At 42.4% G+C, this 18,074-nt stretch overlaps 1 protein-coding gene and 2 pseudogenes across 4 annotated transcripts in view, besides 2 other annotated features; 2 read left to right on the forward strand and 1 right to left on the reverse strand.

The window, feature by feature from the left end:
• Nucleotides 1-18,074, forward strand: part of UBE2D2 (ubiquitin conjugating enzyme E2 D2) — a 102,195-nt gene that overhangs the window by 71,071 nt on the left and 13,050 nt on the right. For all 4 annotated transcript variants that reach the window (XM_047417691.1, NM_181838.2, NM_003339.3 and 1 more), the window contains 4 exons: nucleotides 3,062-3,125; nucleotides 17,276-17,307; nucleotides 17,387-17,464; nucleotides 17,551-17,656. In XM_047417691.1, coding sequence (XP_047273647.1) covers nucleotide 3,125; nucleotides 17,276-17,307; nucleotides 17,387-17,464; nucleotides 17,551-17,656 — 217 coding nt within the window. In that variant the 5' untranslated portion in view covers nucleotides 3,062-3,124. The remainder of the gene's footprint in view (nucleotides 1-3,061; nucleotides 3,126-17,275; nucleotides 17,308-17,386; nucleotides 17,465-17,550; nucleotides 17,657-18,074) is intronic.
• Nucleotides 5,801-6,301: an enhancer, noted in NCBI's record as "H3K4me1 hESC enhancer chr5:138982696-138983196 (GRCh37/hg19 assembly coordinates)". NCBI's record gives its function as "activates a minimal SCP1, AML or CMV promoter by ChIP-STARR-seq in naive H9 embryonic stem cells {active_cell/tissue: H9 hESC(naive)}" and the evidence as "EXISTENCE:reporter gene assay evidence [ECO:0000049][PMID:30033119]".
• Nucleotides 6,302-6,802: an enhancer, noted in NCBI's record as "H3K4me1 hESC enhancer chr5:138983197-138983697 (GRCh37/hg19 assembly coordinates)". NCBI's record gives its function as "activates a minimal SCP1, AML or CMV promoter by ChIP-STARR-seq in primed H9 embryonic stem cells {active_cell/tissue: H9 hESC(primed)}" and the evidence as "EXISTENCE:reporter gene assay evidence [ECO:0000049][PMID:30033119]".
• HSPE1P15 (heat shock protein family E (Hsp10) member 1 pseudogene 15) lies at nucleotides 13,596-13,871 on the forward strand (annotated as a pseudogene).
• H3P25 (H3 histone pseudogene 25) lies at nucleotides 14,692-15,053 on the reverse strand (annotated as a pseudogene).

The raw sequence follows: 18,074 nt of genomic DNA on the forward strand, positions 1-18,074 counted from the left end.
CATACATCATGTAGCCTTATGTCTGGCTTCTTTCACTTAGCAGTATGCTTTTGAGATTCAGCTGTATCAGTGCCATCAGCCAAGGAAGTGTTGAATGAGTGTGTTAAATGTCTATTAGCCTAAGTTTGGCTTAGGGTTTTAAAATTATATTGGCTCCTGAAATGGACTGATGGATCTTGTATTCTGCTTAGATAAATCTTAGCTCTTGAGTTAAAAACCTTGATGTTATTCAGCATGGAAAAAAGTAACTCAGTTTGAAAGGGGCAAAAGATTAAAGCGAAATCAAAAGTAAAATTCCACTTAATGAACATGGCAGGACTTCAGAATTGTTCAATTGTTAAATTGTTAAATTCAAGTTATATTTTAATTAACAACCTGTTGCTATAGCAATGTCTTAAATAAAGCCAGGTGTTCTTAGTTATACCAACCTGTGCTGTCAGTAATATTTGAGAATGGGAACTATACAGTAGGCTATTACTTTTTTTCTTGAGATGGGCAGAAAATCTCTATTTTAGAGACATAAAATCTAAAATTTGAGATATTTGAGTAAGTTAATCGTTATCTCAATCCAGAGCCTTCTTTTTATTCAAACTTTATTTCTTTTTTTTTGAGACGAAGTCTCGCTCTGTCGCCCAGGCTGGAGTGCAGTGGCGTGATCTTGGCTCACTGCCAGCTCCACCTCCCGGGTTCACACCATTCTTCTGCCTCAGCCTCCCGAGTAGCTGGGACTACAGGCACCCGCCACCATGCCTGGCTAATTTTTTATATTTTTAGTAGAGATGGGGTTTCACCATGTTAGCCAGGATGGTCTCGATCTCCTGACCTCGTGATCTGCCTGCCTCAGCCTCGTGCTGGGATTACAGGCATGAGTCACTGTGCCTGGCCCTTTTTCAAACTTTATTTCTGTACTTTATGCTTTGTGTACTCCAAGCTTACAGACAGGATGAAACGACATAAGAGTCTAAATGGTTTTGGATTTAAAAAATCTTAGACTTTACTGTTTTTACTCTTGTAGTTTTAAAGTATAATCAAAACTAGTTCTTCTTGAGAACTTTCTTTTTGTCTCAAAAACCAAGCTGAGGGGAAATGGAATATAGTATGATTTCCTGCCTTGTGATTTTTCAGGCATCCTCACCCAATAACAAGTCTCAAGTTTCTGGGCTTTTATGTTTAAAAAGCTGAGAAGCTGGTAACTGGTTGTAAAGCATTATTCCAGGTAGACCAATCTCTGACTACAAAGCCTTTTTTTTTTTTTTTTTTTTTTTTTTGAGATGGAGTCTCCCTCTGTCACCCAGGCTGGAGTGCAGTGGCATGATCTCGGCTCACTGCAACCTCCCTTTCCTGGGTTCAAGCATTACTTCTGCCTGAGCCTCTCAAGTAGCTGGGATTACAGGCGTGTGCCACCACTCCCAGCTAATTTTGTGTTTTTTTAGTACAGATGGGGTCTTGCTATGTTGGCCAGGCTGGTTTCAAGCTCCTGGCCTCAAGTGATTGGCGCCACCTTGGCCTCCCAAAGTGTTGGGATTACAGGTGTGAGCCATCGCTCCTGGGAACTACAAAGCTCTATGGTGGCTTTTATTACTTCAGTCAGCCTTTTAAAATATATTCCTTTTTTTTTTTTTTTTTTTTTTTTTTGAGACAAAGTCTCGTTCTGTTGTCCCAGGCTGGAGTGTAGTGGCATGATCTTGGCTCACTGCAACCTCTGCCTCCTGGGTTCAAGCAATACTCCTGCTGTAGCCTCCCGAGTAGCTGGGACTATAGACATGCACCCACTACGCTCGGCTAATTTTTGTATTTTTAGTAGAAATGGGGTTTTACCATGTTCACCAGGCTAGGCTGGTCTCGAACTCCTGACGTCAGGTGATCCTCCCACCTCGGCCCCACAAAGTGCTGGGATTACAAGCATGAGCCACTGTGCCCAGCCTAAAATATATTCCTTCAAAGTTTTTTCTACTTTTAGAACCCTGGTAGTGGACTTCCACTGAAAGCATATCAACTTGTCAGATGGTCCAGTATAATTTTGGAACATTTATGACTTTAGGAGCTTGTCCCAAGTGTAACCTAATAGTTTTGAGGTACAAAAATTGGCCTTAAATTTTTTTTTTGAAAAATAATAAATGAAATGTTTACATTAAAACAATTTTGGCCAGGCGCGGTGGCTCACGCCTGTAATCCCAGCACTTTGGGAGGCCAAGGTGGGCGGATCACCAGGTCAGGAGATTGAGATCATCCTGGCTAACACGGTGAAACCCTGTCTCTACTAAAAATACAAAAAGTTAGCCGGGCGTTTGGGTCGGGCACCTGTAGTCCCAGCTACTCGGGAGGCTGAGGCAGGAGAATGGCGTGAACCCTGGAGGCGGAGCTTGCAGTCAGCTGAGATTGCGCCACTGCACTCCAGCCTGGGCGACAGAGCAAGACTCCGTCTCAAAAAACAAACAACAAACAAACAAAAAAAACAGTATTTTTGGCTCTTTAATACATAATACATGTTTTTTGTTTGTTTGTTTTTTTGAAATGGAGTCTCGCTCTATCACCCAGGCTGGAGTGCAGTGGTGCAATCTTGGCTTACTGCAACCTCCGCCTCCCTGGTTCAAGGGATTCTCCTGCCTCAGCCTCCTGAGTAGCTGGTATGACAGGCATGTATCACCATGCCCAGCTAATTTTTTCTATCTTCAGTAGAGACAGGCTTGTTGGCCAGGCTGGTCTCGAACTCCTGACCTCAAGTGATCTGCCCGCCTCAGCCTCCCAAAGTGCTGGGATTACAGGTGTGAGCCATCACGCCCGGCCCATAATACATGACACATGTTTTACCTTCCTGATTGTATTTATTTGCTAAGCTCTGAACAAAGCAAAAATGACCCACTTTAAAAAAATACACATTGCCTTGAAGAATCCAAAATACCTTAAAGATTCACCAATCTACTCATCTCTTACTCTGAAGGAATGCTCTTAAGAGAGTTTCACCAGCAGGACAGAGAATATTGGTAACAATATAAACTTTAGTAATGGATAAAAGGTACATTTATGTTGAATATATTTCTTTTCTTTCTTTTTTCTGTAGGAATTGAATGATCTGGCACGGGACCCTCCAGCACAGTGTTCAGCAGGTCCTGTTGGAGATGATAGTAAGTATTTAAAAGGAATAATGGAGTAATAGCATAACAGTGGTTATTTTGTGTGAAGAAACAATTATGGTATAGGGAAGAGGCAGTGTTTAACCCTTAGTGGCCCATGAAGGGAGCAACTCTATGTTCATCCCATTATCATCTGTGTTGTTCATTACATTTTGAATCTTCTGCCAGGTATTGGCTATGTAGTTGTTCTAGTCCTCTCCTACCTTACCTTCATCCCTTCTGGGTATTTTCCTGGAGTGAAATATTTAAGCTTTTACCTACAACTAGCTATTATTCTTGAGTAAGATAATACTAAGGATGATAGTATGTGTGTCTGTGTCTGACTTTCTACTGACTCATACTTGCGAAATCAGGTCTTTATTTATTTTTTTCTTGAGACAGGGTCTCGCTCTGTCAAGCCCGGGCTGGAGTGCAGTGGCGTGATCTCAGCTCACTGCAGCCTCTGCTTCCTGGGTTCAAGTGATTCTCGTGCCTCAGCCTCTCGAGTATCTGGGATTACAGGTGCATGCCACCACGCCTGATTAATTTTTGTATTTTTAGTAGATTCGTGGTTTCGCCATGTTGGCCAGGCTGGTCTCAAACTCCTGGCCTCAGGTGATCCGCCCGCTTTGGCCTCCCAAAGTGCTGGGATTATAGGCATGAACCACCACACCTGGCCAAAAGCAGGTCTTTATTTTTAATGTCCAATTTATCTGCTTAATTTTGTCTAAAAAGATGATCTTAATGCATACATTAGATGATAATTTCCTCTTTGTTCCACTTCATTTCAACATAATTTTTTCCCATATAGTGTCTTTTAACTTTTTTTAAAGAGGGGATATTTGAATGAGACTATGCTATGTGATGTAAAACTAATTCACAAAAAACTGTAACATTTGGTTGGGTGTGATGGCTCATGTCCCTAATCCCAGCACTTTAGGAGACCGAGGCAGGTGAATCAATTGAGCCCAGGAGTTCAAGACCAGCTTGGTCAACATGGTGAAGCCCTGTCTCTACAAAAAACACACAAAAAAATTAGCCGGGTATGTTGGTGCATGCTGGTAGTCCGAGCTACTTGGAAGGCTAAGGTGGGAGGTTTGCTTTAGCCTGAGCCTGGGTAGCAGAGTTTACAGTGAGCCAGGACCATGCCACTGCACTCCAGCTTGGGCGACAGAGTGAGACGCTGTCTCAAAAAATAAAAACAGGACGGGGCGTCATGGCTCATGCCTCTAATCCCAGCACTTTGAAAGGCCGAGGCGGGCGGATCACGAGGTCAGAGTTTGAGACCATCCTGGCCAAGATGGTGAAACCCCGCCTCTACTAAAAATAGAAAAAAATTTAGCCAGGCATGGTGACAGGCGCCTGTAATCCCACCTACTTGGGAGGTTGAGGCAGACAACTGCTTGAATCCAGGAGGCAGAGGTTGCAGTGAGCTGAGATTGTGCCACTGCACTCCAGCCTGCGTGACAGAGTGAGACTTACTCTCAAAAAAAAAAAAAAGAAAAAAAAATTTGTAACATTTAACAAATATTTTAAAGTATGCATACTTACAAACACTTGTGTAAATATGTAGATTCAGACCAAAATGAGTACATGGTTAAATTAGCTTATGTTTAATATTTTTTTGTTTGTTTGTTTTGTTTTTTAAGATGGAGTCTCACTCTGTTGCCCGTGCTGGAGTGCAGTGGCGTGACCTCGGCTCACTGCAAGCTCCGCCTCCTGGGTTCATGCCATTCTCCTGCCTCAGCCTTCCAAGTAGCTTGGATTACAGGCACCTGCCACCACACCTGGCTAGTTTTTGTATTTTTAGTAGAGACGGGGTTTCGCCATGTTGGCGAGGCTGGTCTTGAATTCCTGACCTTAGGTGATCCACCTGCCTTGGCCTCCCAAAGTTCTGGAATTACAGGCGTGAGCTACTGCGCCTGGCCTCAAATTGTTTTTTCCTGATTTTTCTTAATAATGTTGTGTCTGGGCCCAGCCCAGTGGCTCACACCTGTAATCTCAGTGCTTTGGGAGGCTGAGGCAGGCAGATCACTTGAGCCCAGGAGTGCGAGACCAGCCTGGGCAACATGGTGAAACCCTCTCTCTACAAAAAAATACAAAAATTAGCCTGGCCTGGTGGTGCATGCCTGTAGCCCCAGCTACTCAGGAGTTTAAGGTGGGAGGATCGCTTGAGTCCAGGCAGTTGAGGCTGTAGTGAGCCAAGGTTGCACAACTGCACTCCAGCCTGGGCAACGGGAGCGAGACTCTCTCAAAACAAAAACAACAACAACAACAACAAAAAACGGAAAAAAAGAATGTGTCTGGTCTGCTAAATCCTGAAGAATCAAAGCAAGGCCCTTTCACAAGGATTACTTTACAAATAGATAAATATTATAAATTATGAGTCTAAGTACATGTCATGAAAAAACTCATTTACATTATTATATTCTGACTTACCTAGCGTGAGTAACTATAGTATTTGGTACCAAACAAGGCAGGCTAAGTACTTAAACTATACAAAATAATTTAGTAAGTGCTGTTACACACGTTGTCTCATTTAAGCCTTACAACAACTCATTTAGGTGAGTGGAGTAGAAATTTTAAATTGTTTTAGAAAAAAGTCCCATGAGAATCTCATGGAGATTCTCCATGTGAACTCACTCTCAGGTTTTCTGATTCTAGTTTGTCCTTCCACTGTATCATATGGGCCACATACATCAGTGTACTCTTTCTATTCAGTTGGAAAAGTGCTTTTAGGTAAATTCCTCCAAGTTAAGAATGGCTGAAAATCTTTAATTAAAAGTGGTTGGAGTCAGGGGATTTGATTTCAATTTTGAAGTTTTCTTTAGCATGCTAAAGTAATTTGTCTTTGCTTTGCTTCTGCCATAGTTAGCACTATACATTTCTTTCTCAGGTTGAAAAATTGTTCCCTTTGGAGAGTTAAATAAAACTCTCCCACAGCCGAGTGCGATGGTTCACGTCTGTAATCCTAGCACTTTGGGAGGCCAGGAGTTCAAGACCAGCCTGGCCAACATGGTGAAACCCTGTCTCTACTAAAAATACAAAAATTAGCTGGGCGCGGTGGCGCCTGCCTATAATCCCAGCTACCTAGGAGGCTGAGGCAGGAGAATCGTTGGAACTGGGAGGCGGAGGTTGTGGTGAGCCGAGATCCCGCCACTACACTCCAGCCTGGGTGACAGAGTGAGACTCTGTCTCCGAAAAAAAAAAAAAAAAAAAAAAAGGCTGGGTGTGGTGTCTCACGTCTGTACGCCTGTAATGCCAGCACTTTGGGAGGCCGAGGCAGGTGGATTACCTGAGGCCAGGAATTCAATCAAGACCAGTCTGGCCTTGAACTCTGGTGAAACCCCGTCTACTAAAAATAAAAATACAAGAAATTAGCCAGGTGTGGTGGTGGGAGCTGTAATCCCATCTATTTGGGAGGCTGAGGCAGGAGAATCGCTTGAACCCGGGAGGCAGAGGCTGCAGTGAGCCGAGATCACGCCATTGCACTCCAGCCTGGGCAACAAGACTGAAACTCCGTCTCAAAAAAACAAACAAACTCTCCCAAAGCTAATCAGTAAGAGAAAAAAATAGATATTATTAGACTTCATCAAAATTAAATATATACAGGCTGCAAATGATGCCATCACGAAAGTGATAAAACATATAGAATGGAAGAAATTGTTGCAAGTCATATATCTCATAAGGGACATATATCCAGTATATTTTTAAAACTTTTTTTTTTTTTTTTTGAGACGGAATCTCGCTTTTGTCACCCAGGCTGGAGTGCAGTGGTGCGGTCTTGGCTCACTATAACCTTCGCCTCGTGGGTTCAAGCAGTTCTCCTGCCTCAGCCTCCCGAGTAGCTGATTATAGGCACGTGCCCCGCCGCCCAGCTAATTTTCGTATTTTTGGTAGAGATGGGTTTCACCATGTTGGCCAGGCTGGTCTTGAACTCCTGACCTCAAGTGATCCGCCCACCTCTACCTCCCAAAGCGCTGGAATTACAGGCATGAGCCACCCCACCCAGCTGTTTAAAAACTCCTATAACTCAGTATAAAAATAAATAACCAATTAAAAAATAGTCAAAGGATCCGAGTAGACATTTCTCCAGATAAGATGGCTAGTAAGCACACGAAAAGATGCTCAACATCATTTGTCATTAGGGAAATACAAATCAAAACTACAGTGAAGAAGAGCCAGGCACAGTGGCTCATGCCTGTAATCCCAGCTACTGGGGAGACTGAGACTGGAGGATCACTTGAGGCCAGGAGTTTTATGCCAGCCTGGGCAACAAAGCAAGACCCCATCTTTAAAACTAAAAATTAGCTGGGAGTGGTGGCTCATGGCTGTAGTCCCACCTACTCACAAGGCTGAGGCAGGAGGAACACCTGAGCCCAGAAGTTTGAGGCTGCAGTGAGCTATGATTTGGCCACTATACTCTAGCTTGGATGACAGGTTGAGACCCAGTCTCTAAAAAAAAAAAAAAAACAAGTATTGATCAGATCTTTCTGATGAACCCCACATAAGAGTACATCAAGTATGATTGGATAGCTAAATGTCCTTTTGTCATTTTATTTTTGTTATAAGGAGTCAGAATTTAATCTTAGAAGAAGGAAGAGAGAAACTGTTGGCCTTTTGAAACTTTTGAGCTCCTTTTGACTATCCTGGTACCCAAATCCCTCAGTACCACATGTTATTGATATTTAGTGTAAAAATAAAGTGGAGACTTGTGCTTTATTTTAAAACATCCAGATTTTAATGTTGATATTTAGTATAAAAATAAAGTAGAGATCTGTGCTTTATTTTAAAACATCCAGATTTTAATGTACTAGTAAATTTTTTTTCACTTTCCTGCAAAGATCTGGTAAGCAGGAAGAAATGTACATCCTGAAAGAAGTAAGCAGCCGGGCCCGGTGGCTCACGCCTGTAATCCCAACACTTTGGGAGGCCGAGGCGGGCGGATCACGAGGTCAGGAGATTGAGACCATCCTGGCTAACATGGTGAAACCCCGTCTCTACTAAAAATACAAAAAATTAGCCGGGCTTGGTGGCAGGTGCCTGTAGTCCCAGCTATTCAGGAGGCTGAGGCAGGAGAATGGCGTGAACCCGGGAGGTGGAGCTTGCAGTGAGCCAAGATCACGCCACTGCACTCCAGCCTGTGTGACAGAGCAAGACTCTGTCTCAAAAAAAAAAAAAAAAAAAAAAAGAAAAGAAAGAAACAAATAAGCTGAAGATTTAATGGCCATATATCTGTTTCCTTCTCTCTTCCCTCCCTTCCTTTCCCCCTCCTCCTCCCCTCCCTCTCTCCCTCCCTTCTCCCTCGTCTTCCTCTCCTCTGGTCTTCTTTAAAGGCAGGGGCTCACTCTGTTGCCCAGGCTAGAGTGCAGTGGCGCGATTGCAGCTCACTGAAGCCTCAAACTCCTGGGCTCAAGGGATCCTCCCACCTCAGCCTCCTGAGTAGCTGGGACTATGGGTACATGCCCCTACACCCCTGGCTAATTTAAAAAAAAAAATTGTAGCAATAGGGTCTCACCATGTTTCCTACGCTGGTCTTGAAATCCTGGGCTCAAGTGATCCTCCTGCCTCTGCCTCCCAAAGCCCTGTGATTGCAGCTGCGAGCTACCGCACCCAGCTTTCTTTTCTTTTGAACAGTTGGTAAATGTGACTCTCTTGAGATCTGTGCATTCAAGTGTAGGTCTCTGGGGATTCAGTCTCATACTATCAAATATTCTCACTGTCCCCTGCTGTTTTGTTTGTTTGTTTGTTTTTTTGAGATGGAGTCTCACTCTGTTGCCCGGGCTGGAGTGCAGTGGCGCAATCTCGGCTCACTGAAACCTCTGCGTCCCAGGTTCAAGCAATTCTCCTGTCTCCGCCTCCCAAGTAGCTGGGATTACAGGCATGCACCACCACGACCGACTAATTTTTTGTATTTTTAGTAGAGACTGGGTTTCACCATGTTGGCCAGGCTGGTCTCGAACTCCTGACCTCAGGTGATCCACCCACCTCGGCCTCCCAAACTGCTGGGATTACAGGCTTGAGCCACTGCGCCCGGCCTGTCCCTTTTAACCTCAAGGCTTCATCCAGAATACTAAAGAGTAATCATTCATCTGTGAACTTCACATTTAAACTCTCATAAAACAGATTATGTAACTTTCAGTTTGTGTAATTTGGTTTGATAGTATTAAACCAACATAGTGCTGGGAACTTATTTTTGTTTTTTACTATCAAAACTTTTTATTTTGGTCAATTTTGATCAATCCTAAGATGGATCATTAAATGAAAGATTTTTGAAACAGATGTTTATGTAAAATGTAGCAATATTTTATGCTTATGGTCCAGTATTTCATTCAGTAACTATTTTGGGGGTCCTTTTTACTTGAACCTCTAGTAATTCTTGAGCTATTTCTCTTTTCTTGAGACAGAGTCTCACATCGTCGCCCCCCTGGAGTGTAGTGGCATGATCTTGGCTCACTGCAACCTCTGCCTCCCGGGTTCAAGCAGTTCTCCTGCCTCAGCCTCCCAAGTAGCTGGGATTACGGGTGCCTGCCACCACGCCCAGCTAATTTTTTGTATTTTTAGTAGAGACGGTATTTCACCATGTTGGCCAGGCTGGTCTTGAACTCCTGACCTCGTGATTGGTCTGCCCCGGCCTCCCAAAGTGCTGGGATTACAGGCGTGAGCCACCACGCCTAGCCTACTTGAGCTATTTCTAAAAACATTGTAATGTGAGGCAGGTTTGGTATTCTGTCACTAGCTTCTCTGATTTATACTTCTGCCTATAAGAGCTAAGAGTCTAGAAAGGCTTCCAGAGAGTAACCTAAATCAGTGGTTTTAGTAGGTATCTTTATATTCAACCAGTGTGACAAAATTCTCAATTAAGATTTAAATGGTAGGTCTTTAAATGCTTTAATTACATTCATGTGAATGGGTTTTAGTTTCTCTTTCTCTGCCTTTTTTTGGTACTGTAGATTCTAGATCATTTTATGAGAGCCATAAAGATTATTTGTCTTGGTTGCTGCATTAGTAATTTTCTTCTTCCTTTTCCTTCTGCTATTTTAAAGACTTAGCCCTGTGTATGTGTTTTTGCTCATTTTTTTGATGATGGAATTTGACCTTAATAACAGTGAAGACAAATTAACATAGTGTTATTAGAATGTGAATAGGTTTTTATTCAGAGTTTAATGCCAATGGATTACATATGTTTAGTCCTGTTGGAATGTTAAACAGATATGATCTACTAAATTAAATAGATATGGATTACAGATGAGATCATCTATGATGTTGAGTTAAAAGTTCACAATAATGTAAGAATGTTCGGCATGGTACAGTGGCTCATGCCTGTAATCCCAGCACTTTGGTAGGCCAATGCAGAAGGATCGCTTGAGGCCAAGAGTTTGAGACCAGCTTGGGCAACATAGCAAGACCCGATCTCTACAAAAATAAAAATTAAAAAAATGAGCAGGACATGGTGACACTTGCCTGTAGTCCCAGCTACTCAGTTGGCTGACGTGGGAGGATTGCTTGAGCCCAGGAGTTTGAGGCTGCAGTGAGCCAAAGTTGTGCCACTGTACTCCAGTCTGGGCAGTAGAGTGAGACTCTGTCTCTTGGGAAAAAAAAAAAAAAACTTAAATATACAATATGCTAGAGTATCTCTAACTTTTTGTAGCGTGGGTATGAAAGATTGCAATATTAGTTGAAAATATTTATTTTTTTCCCCATCTTCTATCAAGAAGGGTATTCTGGCCCGGCGTGGTAGCTCACGGCTGTAATCCTAGCACTTTGGGAGACCAAGGTGGGCGGATTGCCTGAGCTCAGGAGTTTGAGACCAGTCTGGGCAACGTGACAAAACCCCATCTCTACTAAAAATACAAAAAATTAGCCGGGTGAGGTGTTGCACACCTGTAATCCCAGCTACTTGGGAAGCTGAAGCAGGAGAATTGCTTGAACCTGGGAGGCAGAGGTTACAGTGAGCTCAGATTGTGCCATTGCACTCCAGCCTTGACAAAGTGAGACTGTCTCAAAAAAAGAAAGAAAAAAAAGAAGGGTATTCTGGGTATTCTGGCTGGGCACTGCTGGTGGCTCATGCCTATATTCCCAGCAGTTTGGGGGGTCAAGGCAGGCAGATCGCTTGAGCCCAGGAGTTTGAGACCAGCCTGGGCAACATGGGAAGACCCCGTCTCTATTTTAAAAAAAAAAGAAGAAGAAGGGTATTCTTTCCATAATTATAAACATTGGCAGCTTGTTGGCATTTCTGCTTCAACCCTGTTGGGGATTCTGCGTTGTCCAATTGTTAGTAGATTTTGATCCCACAGCCTATTTGTGCTTTGTTTGTGTTAGTAGGAAGAACAGGGAATCACAAAAAAGGAAATATTTAGCTAAAAATTTCTGATTTAAGGCCGGGCCTGGTGGCTTATGCCTGTAATCTCAGCACTTTGGGAGGCCAGGGTGGGTGGATCACCTGAAGTCAGGAGTTCGAGACCAGCCTAACCAACATGGTGAAACCCAGTCTCCACTAAAAATACAGCAAAATTAGTCAGGTGTGGTGGCACACACCTGTAATCCCAGCTACTCAGGGAGCTGAGGCAGGAGAATTGCCTGAACCTGGGAGGCGGAGGTTGCAGTGAGCAAAGATCGCACCACTGCACTCCAGCCCAGGCGACAGAGCGAGACTCCATCTCAAAAAAAAAAAAATTCTGATTTAAATTTTTCTAATAACTTCTTAAGTCTGGTAGTAGTATTAGCAGGAAAAGAAAAAGATTGATCCTGAAAAGACTAGTGAAGATCTTGAATTAGTACCTAAATGGTTAATGGAAAATTTAATTTTTTTAATTGTCTCAATATTTTTATATTTTGTCTGGGTGTGGTGACCCACACCTATAATCCCAGCACTTTGGGAGGCTGAGGTGGGTGAACTGCTTGAGCCCAGGAGTTCAAGACCATCCTGGACAACATAGTGAGACCCCATCTCTTTTTTTTTTTGAGATGGAGTTTCGCTCTTGTTGCCCAGGCTGGAGTGCAATGGCACGATCTTGGCTCACCACAACCTCTGCCTCCCAGGTTCAAGCGATTCTTCTGCCTCAGCCTCCCGAGTAGCTGGGATTACAGGCAATGCGCCACCATGCTTGGCTAATTTTGTATTTTTAGTAGAGATGGGGTTTCTCCGTGTTAGTCAGGCTGGTCTTGAACTCCCAACCTCAGGTGATCCGCTCGCCTCGGCCTCCCAAAGTGCTGGGATTACAGGTGTGAGCCATCACACCTGGCTGCGCATCTCTATTTAAAAAAAAAAAAAAATTAATATTTTATTAAGTGCTTTCTTTCTTTTTTTCTTTTTTAAGTTGTTTTCTTTCTTTCTTTCTTTTTTTGTTTTTTTGTTTTTTTTTTGAGATGGAGTCTCGCACTGTTGCCCAGGCTGGAGTGCAGTGGCACGATCTCAGCTCACTGCAACCTCCGCCTCCTGGGTTCAAGCGATTCTCCTTCCTCAGCCTCCCGAGTAGCTGGGATTACAGGCACCTGCCACTACGCCCAGCTAATTTTTTGTATTTTCAGTAGAGACAGGGTGTCACCATGTTGGCCAGGCTGGTCTTGAACTCCTGGCCTCATGATTCATCTGCCTCAGACTACCAAAGTGCTGGGATTACAGGTGTGAGCCGCTGCGCCTGGCCTTAAGTGCTTTCTTAAAAAATAGTTTAGTGTATTTTAATAGCAAACTCAAAGGAACAGTACAGAGACAGACAACATTAAAAACATACTTGCATGTAGGGCAACTCAGAAAAATAGAGTGAATGAATGAAGAGTCTACCATACGATAAAAACGCTACAAACACCATTTAGTTGCCATCAATAAAAATTTACGGCCGGGCACAGTGGCTCACGCCTGTAATCCCAGCACTTTGGGAGGTCGAAGTGGGCGGATCATAAGGTCAGGAGTTTGAGACCAGCCTGTCCAACATAGTGAAACCCCGTCTCTACTAAAAATACAAAAATTAGCCTGGTGTGGTGGTGTGTGCCTGTAATCCCAGCTACTCAGGAGGCTGAGGCAGGAGAATTGCTGAACCCGGGAGCCAGAGGTTGCAGTGAGCTGAGATCATGCCATTGCACTCCAGCCTGGGCAACAGAGCGAGACTCCGTCTCAAAAAAAAAATATATTTTTTTTTTTGCTTGATATGAAAAAAATCCAGGAGGGTCTGGGCACAGTGGCTTATACCTGTAATCCCAGCACTTTGGGAGGCTGAGGTGAGGGGATTGCTTGAGCATAGGAGTTCGAGACCAGCCTGGGCAACGTAACAAAATCCCGTCTCTACAGAAAATAGAAAAATTAGCTGGGTATGGTCCCAGCTACTTGGGAGGCTGAGACAGGAGGATCATTTAAGCCTGGGAGGTGGAGGTTGAGCTGAGGTTGCGCCCTTTACTCCAGTCTGGGTGACAAGGAGTAAAACCCTGTCTCAAAATAAATAAATCTAGGAGAGCAGTGTACAAGCAGTGGCAGCATCAGCAGTCATGGCAGGACAAGAGTTTAGAAAGTTTCTTTCACTCTTTTACAGAGTATTGGTTGAAAGGAGTGCTGCCAAAACTATAACCAAAGGAGGCATTATGCTTCCAGAATAATCTCAAGGAAAAATATTGCAAGCAACAGTAGTGTTGACAGTTGTTGAATTTGAGCTCTAAAGGAAAGGGTGGAGAAATTCCACTAGTTAGCGAGAAGTTAGAGATACAGTTCTCCTAGAATATAGAGGCAATAAAGTAGTTCTAGATGACAAGTTTTCCTTCTTTTTTTTTTTTTTTTTTTTTTTTTTTTGAGATGGAGTTTCGCTCTTGTTTCCCAGGCTGGAGTGCAATGGTGCAATCTCAGCTCACTGCAGCATTCACCTCCGAGTTTCAAGTGATTCTCCTGCCTCAGCCTCCTGAGTAGCTGGGATTACAGACGCCCGCCATCACGCCCAGCTAATTTTTTATATTTTCAGTAGAGACGGGGTTTCACTATGTTGGTCAGGCTGATCTCGAACTCCTGACCTCAGGTGAGCCACCTGCCTCGGCCTCCCAAAGTGCTGGGATTACAGGCGTGAGCTACCACACCCAGCGACAAGTTTTATTTCTTATTTAGAGATGGCGACATTCTTAGTGTGTAGACTGAAATAAATCACTATTGAAATGACATCAACGTGAAGCTGCCCATTCCACTAAAGTTCTGAAATCTTTCATCATGTAAATAATTTCCATGTCTCTCTTTTATAATAAACCAATGATATAACTAGTGACAAAAATAAAATCCAACTGCTAGCATTGTCCAGAAAAAATTTACAGGTATGTTTATAATTGTTATAAAGGTGAACTGCTGAAACTTGTTCACCGAAATAGTTTGACTTGAATTAATGCTTTACATCCTCAATTTTATATTAGAAATTCACACACAAGTTAAAATGGAAAAACTGCCAATACCTGATTTCTGTCCCCTGTTTTTCCACTCGCAGTCATATATGTAGTTACCTTTTGACCCCGTGGGGGAAAATACATCTAACAGAGAACTATCAATAACAGAAAGAAGAAAAATAATTGTTTTTTTTTTTTTTTTTTGAACATGAAATGTTTCCCAATCTTAAGCACAGTCTCCATGTAATTGGCATGCTAGCTGGATGTCTTTTGGCATACTTGTTACATATTTGGCATGAGTTACACATAAGTTGGTGTCTTCATAAAGGCTCATCAGATAGGCCTCACTTGCCTCCTGCAAAGTAACAAAAGCCAGAAGTGTAGATTTGTTTCGAAGTCCTGAGCAACTTCTTGTATCAGATGCTGGAAAGGAAGTTTGCTAATCAGAATTCAGTGGACTTCTGATGAGATCTGTTTTCACAGAGTACCACAGTACCAGACCTGTAGCAGTGAGGTTTCTTTACTCTTCCAGTAAAGGGTGCACTCCTGTGAGTGACTTCTGTAGCTAATTGCTTCCTGGGTGCTTTACCACTGGGCCAATTTGCTGGTAATCTGCCTTGTACTAGTCATGATCTAGAGGCCCCCTTACTTATCCCCCTTCTCAGCAGACATTAGAGATGAGGGCGCCACTGTGGCAGGCAGTGCCTGAGAACACTTAAAAGCAGTGCTTTCTTACTATCTTACCCAACTCTTACAGCTTTGAGTGGAAATGCAGGTACAATTAATACTCTTCCATTATAACCACAAATTTAAATAACAGGAAAGAATTAAGTAGAAGAACAGGTCCCTTGACCAGTTGGTCATACTTTTGTCTAATAGTGTTTTTAGTCTTGTTATTGGGGGTTGTTAATTCTAGTTATCAATGTTTTATTTACTCAAATTGTAAGTATATTTGTGATTAAAAATAGAGTGAGACTCGTGTATGTGTGCATGCATGCGTGTGAGCATGTGCGTGTGTGTGTTTTAGTCTTGTTTTTAATTTTTTTCAGAAACAGGGTCTTGCTATGTTGCCTGGGCTGGACTTGAACTCCTGGGCTCAAGTCATCCTCCCATCTCAGCCTCCTGAGTAGGTGGGACTACAGGTGCCCACTTTTGTGTCTTTAAACAACATACAAGGGGCTTTTTATAGGACTTCCCTTGAAGATACTAGGTCCAGTTTTAGTGGCCCAGAATGGCTTTGTCCTTGGCTTACTCAGTCCATTAAATGGTCAGCAGAGAGTAATATAAGTGTTTGTAAGTACTAGTGAGGGCTAATCTAAGGAAGGGAGCCTCAGCAATTCCTATCCTTTACCTTTAACCCCTAATCAACAAGCTGCTATTTTTAGGTTCAAGTCCCAGTGAGCAACAAACCAACTTTAGGGATTAATTTGATATTAAGGAGGTTGGAAGGAACTTTAGGATTTGGACTGACATTCTGGTGGATTTTTATATGGCTTCTTAGTCTTCATGTTTCTTCTACCTTGTGACAAGAGTTACCTGGTTTGGGTTGTTCAAATATAACCCCAGTGACAACTTCCCTTAGGTTGCTCAGATCATAGTATGAATGGTAAGTGTGCTAAGTAGTAGCTTAATTATAAGTAAAAACTCTGGCTTTTGATCTCTCATGATGCACTTAGTAGCATGAGAACATGGAACAAGCATCATTTTCTGCATTTGGAAGATATTTATTTATTGAACAAGTTTATAACTTATTAGAAGTATCCCTGGAGCTTGTAATCAACCTTGGGCTTTCAGCTAATATTTTCTTCTTAAATTTTACTCCTTTTTTCTCTTTTTTCCTCTTTAACTTATCCTTTACATTAGGAGAGATGTTTTTCTTTCTTTAATGAGGGCCAGTAATGTACAGACCTACACAAGAGTTTTTAGAAATTTTTTCTCCTTGTTAAAACCAGTCTTTCTTAATTTGAGTATTATCTACCTTGACTTTACTGTTTTGTCCCCCGTATACCAGCATTATAAAAGGAGTCATGCCTGTAATTCCAGCTTTGGGAGGCTGAGGTGGGTGGATCATCTGAGGTCAGGAGTTTGAGACCTGGCCAAACGTGGCAAAACCTTGTCTCTACTAAAAATACAAAAATTAGCCAGGTGTGGTGGCACTTGCCTGTAGTCCCAGCTACTTGGGAGGCTGAGGCAGGAGAATTGCTTGAACCCGGGAGGCGGGGGTTGCAATGAGCCGAAATTGCGCCAGCGCACTCCAGCCTGGGCGATAGAGTGAGACTCTGTCTCAAAAAAAAAAAAAAAAAAAAGTGTATTATATGTAATTGTTTTGAAGAAATGATTTACCCTGTGAGGTAAAGAAATAACTGTTTAAAAGTAGAACTGTAAGCCTTGTCAAGAAGTTTGTCTACCTGACATGAAGTTTCAAGAAGTTTTAGCCCAAATACTTTCGGTTTTTTTTGTTTTTGTTTTTGAGAGAGTCTTGCAGTGGCGCAGTCATGGCTCATTGCAGCCTCCACTTCTCAGGCTCAAGCAGTCCTCTCACCTCAGCTTCTGGAAGTGTTGGGATTACAGGTGTGAGCCACCACACCTGGCTCTAAATATTTTTCATTGAGCACCTTATCAGTGTTCTAGGCCATTCTAGTCATTTTTCTTGTTTCTTTAGACTGTTAATTTATGTTCCTCATCTTGCTCATACTCATTATCATATTATTTATAAATGAATTTGGATTAGAAGGGGAATGATATGTTACTATGGCGTAGATACAATGTAGATATTGTTACATGGTGACTTTTTTCTTGTTATTTTTCAGTGTTCCATTGGCAAGCTACAATAATGGGGCCAGTAAGTATTCAGATTAATTTCAGAATAAACAGTTTATGTAATTTACTCATTTTAATCCCACTTTTCTTGTTATCAACAGAATGACAGTCCCTATCAGGGTGGAGTATTTTTCTTGACAATTCATTTCCCAACAGATTACCCCTTCAAACCACCTAAGGTAATTAATTGGAATGTGGCAGTTTTTAATGTACTTTCTATAATACTAATAAACTAGTTTACAGAAAGTTTCCTTTCTTTCTGTAGGTTGCATTTACAACAAGAATTTATCATCCAAATATTAACAGTAATGGCAGCATTTGTCTTGATATTCTACGATCACAGTGGTCTCCAGCACTAACTATTTCAAAAGGTAACAGTGGGTATTTGATATCAAGATAAAGCAACCGTGTCTTTTGTCTTTTTAGAGTTATTTATTTTTGAAAAGATTACTTATGTTTCTTTTAAGAAGAGATAGCAATTCTTCTTAATCTGAAATGGACCTTGAGAACTGAAAACGAGTTGGATTTTTCAAGCAAAAGTATTCCTTGGTGTAGTGACTAGTCTGTCAGTTGTGCTACTCTAGCATAGGTTAGAAGATGAACACTGGGCCTGGTGCCGTGGCTCATGCCTGTAATCTCAGCACTTTGGGAGGCCGAGGCGGGCAGATCACAAGGTCAGCAGATCGAGACCATCCTGGCTAACATGGTGAAACCCCGTCTCTACTAAAAATACAAAAAAATTAGCTGGGCATGGTGGCAGGTGCCTGTAGTCCCAGCTACTCGGGAGGC

The sequence above is a fragment of the Homo sapiens genome, chromosome 5 (assembly GCF_000001405.40).
Source record: "Homo sapiens chromosome 5, GRCh38.p14 Primary Assembly".
Lineage (NCBI taxonomy): Eukaryota > Metazoa > Chordata > Mammalia > Primates > Hominidae > Homo > Homo sapiens.